At 41.0% G+C, this 7375-nt stretch overlaps 1 protein-coding gene across 2 annotated transcripts in view; it reads left to right on the forward strand.

The window, feature by feature from the left end:
- The window catches only part of WWOX (WW domain containing oxidoreductase), a 1113014-nt gene that overhangs the window by 367340 nt on the left and 738299 nt on the right, over nucleotides 1–7375 (forward strand). The window lies entirely within an intron of this gene.

Below are 7375 nucleotides of genomic sequence, written 5' to 3' on the forward strand. Positions count from 1 at the left end.
GGGTTATTCACAGAGCCATGGGGACACTAAACGTACCTTATCTCTTGACCATGCTATTGATTAGTTATGTGTTTGCCTGTGTTATTAATAATGTATACATTGAAAAATCTATGTGCATTATAGTCTTTGATCTTGTCATGAATTTCAAAGCCAAAGATTCCATTTTCCTTCTTTTTAAAAAAAATTTTTCAAAGAGGTAGGCTGGAAGTAAATTTAAAAATTTTCCCCTTTCTGGCAGAGGGCTTTTTTCTGATCACCACCCATGTTAATTAGATATGCATGTATGTGTATGTATGATGTATATACCCATATACACACAGTCTATATATACATGTATGCGCACATACACATATTTTAAGGAAAGAATTATAAAATGATCAATTCAAGCTTACTATATGCTAGAGGTGAGGAATATTTGAATACAAGTCTTATCTAGTAGATTAAAACAGAAATTAAAGACTGTAGACTAAGGCAGGATCAAAGGACCTCTTTTCATTGTTCTTTTATTGTTTATTGACTTCAAAAAAGACTTTTTAGTTTAAACTGACTGTAATGTCTCTTGAATGGTCTTTTGTAAAATGACTTTGAAAACTCGGGGATAATGTCTTCATTAAGTGGAGAAAAATCTTGGGGAAAATATAACTGTAACTTGGCTTTCATTAGAGTAGAAAGAGATAAAGCTTTGCTTAATTAATGTCTGTTTTCCCTCTGTTCAGAAGTATAAGGAAAAAGGGGACTGAAATTAGTGCTGATAAAAGCTTGAATTAGACATTATAGCACTGAAACTTCTTTTTCTTCCTTACTTAGAATTTGGAAGAACATACTTCATACAAAGCTATGAAGCATATTGGAAGATTTTAGGTGCCCTGTCTTCCTGGATATAAAATGACTCCAAACTCAGTGATACTGATCAGCCTGGCTTCTTTTCCACCTTTCTCACTTCATTGTCTTTTTGTGTGTTTCTGACATCTGTTGACAAATGGGCAATCTTGGGGATGGGGGGTTCCACTGGTATATTTTCTTTACTGTTTAAGAAAGCTCAAAATTCTCTCTGCTCTTTTCCAAGCCACCAATCAAAACTGACATTTTCTAAGTGTCCTCATTGCCCTCTGGGAATGTTCATGGCCTCTGGGAGTCCAAGAACTACCTTTACACTGGATCTTCACTGCTTTTACTATTGTGTGGCTTTCTACCAGTTCTCTGCTCAGCTTCTCTTTTCTGGAGACCTGATATGCTTTGTTAGCTTAGCATGCTGTTCTAGGCTGCCTTTCTTTTTTTTTTTTTTTTTTAAACTTCATGGTGAGCAGAACACTGTACTCCAGACTGTGAGGCCCCACCTGTGCAGCCTGCTGGCTTCTCATACCAGCTTCCTTCTCACCTTAACCCCACGTATTGTTGCAACGGCAAAAAAGAGAATTGCACAGAGGAACACCACCTATCAGAGTTCACACTGAGTTTGCAGATTCATCCTTTTGCTTCCAGCCATCCCATGGAATGCTGTTCTTGGAAGGGTCATCTCATGGTCCATTGTCGGCCCTCTTAGAAGAGATTTCAGGCCTTCCCTTGTAGCTTGATAGTTACAGGGAGTGCTAGGGTAAGTGGAAAAAGCACATGACTTGGAATAAAGACTTAGTACACATCCCATGTCTGATTTATACTAACTAGTTCATGGACCTAGCCTACGTTACTGCACCTGTTTGAGCCTCAGTTTTCCTGTCTGCAAAGGAGGGATGATGGTACTTACCTCAAAGAATTGTAGTTGGATCAAATGAGTTGGAGTGGGATACAGCAACAATCTATATTCTGATTTCAGCAACACTGTGCAGTGTAATTCCATATTATATTACACCACATCTTCTGTGGGTCTTTCTTTGGGGGAAGCTAACATTTTAAAAGGTTTCCCTTTGTAACCTGTAACCCCCTCTACCCCAAAAGTATATTCAAGAGCGAAACTTTTGGTATGACGATGTCTTACATCAGTAGTTCTGAATGACTTGACTTAGCTATCTTTCTTGAGTCTCTCAAAAGACAGATGGATGGATAGATTGATTTTGTTGTAACACCTGTTCAGTTTTGCTGGCCTTACTCGTTTTCAAATACTCAAATGCCATTGAGTCAGATTTCAGAGGCAAATGGTGATACCTCAGGTTTGAAGTTGCAAGAAGTCACCACATGCTTGTTATGGAAATCGTCAGGGATATTTATTCCCTCTCCTGAGAAGCATAATTGAGCCTCCAAACCACCCATCAAGATATCCACCTGTAAAATATTTAAGAACTGGTACTATGAAGACATTTCCCTTATGCAATTTGTTTTCCATCTAAGAGCAGAACAAGGAAAATATAGCTGACTATAAGTTACAAAGGCAGACTCTTAAGCTACAAAATACATCTCTTCACAGGAGCACTTGGAGAAGGGCTGAAGGCAAACCAAAAGTGAGCAACAAGGAGACTAGTGTTCTGAAACAGAGATGACAGGCTCCGCAGTGAGGGTGATGATGGTGTTACGAATTACCCATTCAGTTTAAACTAGACATTCCCTGGAAGCATGTCATGGGGTGTGCAGAAGGGCTTTTGGATAAAAGGGGTCTAGTTAAGAGATGTTAAAAAAACAAACTTGAAAAGCATAGCAGGCTGCCAGGACATGTCTGAGTACCGCGCAGATAGTGGGGAATAGTCTATGGATTCTGCTTACACCATGGACAACCAGGCTGGGCCATGGGTTGTGTTTTTTTTCCTCTCATTTTATAGAAATGTTACCAGGCATATTTTCCCTGTTTCCCTAAGAAGAGCTTCCTCTCAGTGCTAGCCAGCCACAGGGCCAAGTGACACCTAGAGGTGATCCTTTGGTTATTTGCTAAACAGATCTAAGACAAACCGATATCTGTAACCTGGGATTAGATAGAGCCAATAAGATGTAACTGAAATTCTCAGGGATTCTAAGACATCTACATTGTATGTTGGTACGTTATTGAAGGTGATGCTAGCTGCTATAACAAATAAGCACGCCTGTGCACAGTTGCTCAAAGATAGTAGAAGTTTATTTCTTGTTTATGTAAGATCCATAATGACTCTTGCCAATTAGCAGGCTGCTCTCTTCCAAGTGGTAACCCAGGGACTCAAGCTCTTTTCATCTTGTGGCTCAGCCGTCTGACACATGTGGCTTCCAGCACTGCCCTGCTGTTGTCTGCACAAAGCTGGTGGAAGAAGTAGGAATTTGCAGGACCATGTGTGGAGCATTTTAAGGATGAGGCCTGGGAGTGGCACAAATCTTTGAACTCCAGGAGGCTAGGAAACAGAGCATAACCTTGTGCCCAGGAAGATGCGGGGCATAGTACATCTTTGCCTCACCTGATGTATTGTTTGTTTAAAATCACTTTGGATTCTCATTTACCTTTTCCCCCTCAAGATCTTTGTTTTTGACTTTGGAGATAACCAGAAATAACTAAGCATGCTTCCTTCCCTCTACGATTTCATCCTCATGGGGAAGCAAGACCCCACTCTTTTATTTTCATGTATGTATATATGTATGTATGCATGTATGTATGTATGTTTGAGACAGAATCTTGCTCTGTCGCCCAGGCTGGAGTGCAATGGCACCATCTTGACTTACTGAAACCTCCTCCTCCTGGATTCAAGCCATTCTCCTGCCTCAGCCTCCCAAGTAGCTGGGATTACAGGCACGCCACCACACCTGGCTAATTTTTGTATTTTTAGTAGAGATGGGGGTTTCACCATGTGGGCCAGGCTGGTCTTGAACTCCTGACCTCAGGTGATTGACCTACCTCGGCCTCCCAAAGTGCTGGGATTACAGTCATGAGTCACCATGCCCGACCAGCAAGACCCCACTGCTATTGTCCAGTGTGGTAGGTACCTTTGCCTACCTTCTACTCTACAGGCTGGAACAGGTGATATTGTGCCTACTTCACAGCCTTCCTAGCAACTGAGGATGGCTGTATGACAGATTCTAGCCATCAAGTAAAATCAGAAACCAACAGCACGTTTCCTTGAATACCTTTTGCTTTCTATAAAATGGTGTGGCATTGCTGGTATTTTCACTCTTCCTTCCTACCCTGGATGCTGATTTGATGCTTCCAGCCTTAGCGGTTTTCTTGCTTCTAGGACTGAACAGGGAAGAGGGAAAAGTCAAAAGAATGACAGAAGGTCCTCACGTTGCAGAACACTGACCAATGTTGGCAACTACAAGACAATCAGGCGTGATTCTTCATCCAGGATCTGCTTTTCCCTGTCCTGCCAATTCTTGAGCTGCTAATAAACATTCTGATGCAAACATGGAATACAGATTTCAGAGGGATTCTGGGTAGCCCTCGGAGATGAGGATGCTTTGCGAATGTAACAGGCATCTCTCACCTCATTTGTCTGGTGGAATGTTTACAAATGCTAATTAAGTTTTGCTTCAAATGGGGAACAGTCCTGTGCAGTGTTTCTAGGAAGTTACCAGCTTCATCATAGGAAGACGTTCTCCATCGTTTGGATCTTTTTCACCAGCACCTTTTGATTGTGGTGGTTTGGGATGTGATGATCTCAGAACTTTACATCCTCCATGAAATCTCTGCAGCGATAGTTGAATGTCTTGCCTTTTCTATTATTGCCCTTTTTCTTCTGTGACTTTGTACTGAGACACATTTATATTAGGGTAATGGCCTCATGCTATTTGAAAATCTTTATTTGGGCCACATTGGTTGGAAGATAAAAATATATAAGCAATAGTCCCTGAACATCATTTGGCCTGAACTAGGCTAGAGTTTCTCTTAATCAAAATAATAACGATGATTTTTCCATGCCAAGGAGTGGTGTCATATCATGAAGTAGATTTATGTACACATTAAATAAACTTTTACATTTTAATGTACCAATTTGCAATTTTTTTTTCTATTCACCAAAATATTCCAGATAACGGTTATCAGTTTTTGATTCTACACATACTTCAAATACTATTAATGCAAAATCCTTCTTTAGAAATGTTACCTAATTCCAATGTTTCACTTTATTCAGCGAAGACATTCCTTTGATTATTCTGGTTAGGTGTTATGATGCCAATTTGCCCACACATTTTTTCTTAGGCGCCTATGCTTGCAGTAGACAGAGAGTTGAGGAAAGCTCAAGGTTAAAACAGGAAAAAGTAACACAGTAAATACCTATTTTTGTGCATAATTCAAATTAAAACCCCAACCACCTAGAAGCACCAATACAAGGAACTGGCTGCATATTGCATTCCTGTGACCTGCTGTCTTAATGATGGAATGACTAACGAGGATCAGAGGGAATGTGGTCAGCCTCTTATCTCATAAGCCAAATGCTGCATATTCCAAGCCTGTCAATTCTGAAAGCCCTTGTTCATTTTTAAATAATGAAAAACTTTGGGGCCTTGTTCATTGTTTCTAAAGGAAGACATTTAGAAAATTTAGAATATAAATTTCTGTTAGTAGAAACTAATTTCTCTTGCTTTTCTCTAAAGTATACTTGATTTGAAATATGTGCCCTGAAGTTTTGCTATGTTGAAAAAAATGATGAGCCGGGCACAGTGGCTCACGCCTGTAATCCCAGCACTTTGGAAGGCCAAGGCGGGTGGATCACCTGAGGTCAGGAGTTTGAGACCAGCCTGACCAACATGTTGAAACCGTTTCTCTACTGAAAATACAAAAATTAGCCAGGAATGGTGGTACACAGCTGTAGTCCCAGCTACTTGGGAGGCTGAGGCAGGAGAATCGCTTGAACCCGGGAAGTGGAGGTTGCAGTGAGCCGAGATCTTGCCATTGTTCTCCAGCCTGGGCGACAAGAGTGAAACTCCATCTCAAAAAAAAAAAAAAAAAAAAAAAAAAATTATGTCATTTCGTTGTCACAGCGTCAGCAGAATAAATCTTAGATCAAGATGGGATTACTGCGCCACTCCCTTCTTCCCAGTCTGTGGTTTAGCACGGGAAAAAGCAAACTAGGGCCCTTGGGCCAAATCTGATCTGCAGCCTGTTTTTGTGCCGCCTGCAGGAGAACATTTTTAAATTGCTGAAAAAATATGAAAGGAAAAATATTTCAAGGTGTGTGAAAACTACATGAAGTTTAAACTTGAGTGTCCTTAAGTAAAGTTTTATAGGAACACAGTGTTGCTTATCTTTTATGTAATGTTTGTTTGCTTTGAGACCGAGTCTCACTCTGTCACCCAGGCTAGAGTGCAGTGGTGCGTTCTCTGCTCACTGCGGCCTGCATCTCCCACGTTCAAGCGATTGTCCTGCCTCAGCCTCCCAAGTGGCTTGGAGTATAGACACGTGGCACCACGCCTGGGTAATTTTTGTAGTTTTAGTGGAGACAGGATTTCACCATGTTGGCCAGGCTAGTCTTGAACTCCTGACCTCAACTGATAGACCCACCTCAGCCTCCCAAAGTGCTAGGATTACAGACATGAGCCGACCTTTTTATGTATTGTTGATACAGTATGACAAGGGAAGAGTTAACTGATTGCAGCAGGTTAGAGCACAGCATGAAGAGCTGACAATATTGACCGACTGGCCCTCTCAGACAAAGTTTGCCAACACCCAGGTGAGCAGATACACTTATCTGTGAGCAGACGTGATTCAGGGGAGATTGTTGTCCCTCCTTTCCTAAGAAAATGTGGAAAGATGAGAATGTTGCCACCAGTGCTGATATGGAGCGTTTTTTTTGGAATTGTCTTAAACAAGTCCCAACCTTGACTTTGCCTGTGTACCCTACTCTTTACTCCCAGGTCTTTGCAAGGTAAGCTGTCAGGTGTTAGCTGAAGATACGGCAGCCCACCAGTGGTCCCCTGAATGCCAACAAGAGTCACCTCTAAGATGATCCAGCTGTTGCATGGTGTAGCATGCCTAGTCCTTGCAGCACACACGCTGCCATTCTTCTTCGCCGTTGTTACCGTATTAATTTAGGGATGATGAGAAAGTGGCCTCCCTTTCCCTGTTAATTCCTTGGAGGAACTTCTGTTCGAAATGAATAGTCTTGAAATATGTCATAAAGTTACCTATCAGGACCACTTTTACAGAGATTTAAATGTGATAATAAGAATAAAAGAAAATGAAGTGACATTGAGGACGTCTTCTTTTATAACAGCTCTAGGTCTTGCCTGTTAAGCACGCTGTAAAATGACTGTTACACGTTTATGGATTGAAATGGTTCTGCTGAAATTTTAAGTGTTAACATTGTTCAAATTTTCATTACTAACACCTCTCACATTGTTAGAAAACAGTTTTATGTTTGACATTTTGATCATACTAACCTGGGACATTTTATGCTAAAGTTCTCATTTCATGCCTTAGGAATCCCCTGCTTATTTTGATTTCAGCACCTTTCTGTAGGACGCCAATAGCTTATGTTTGCACATCTTACCC

The sequence above is a fragment of the Homo sapiens genome, chromosome 16, assembly GCF_000001405.40.
Source record: "Homo sapiens chromosome 16, GRCh38.p14 Primary Assembly".
NCBI lineage: Eukaryota > Metazoa > Chordata > Mammalia > Primates > Hominidae > Homo > Homo sapiens.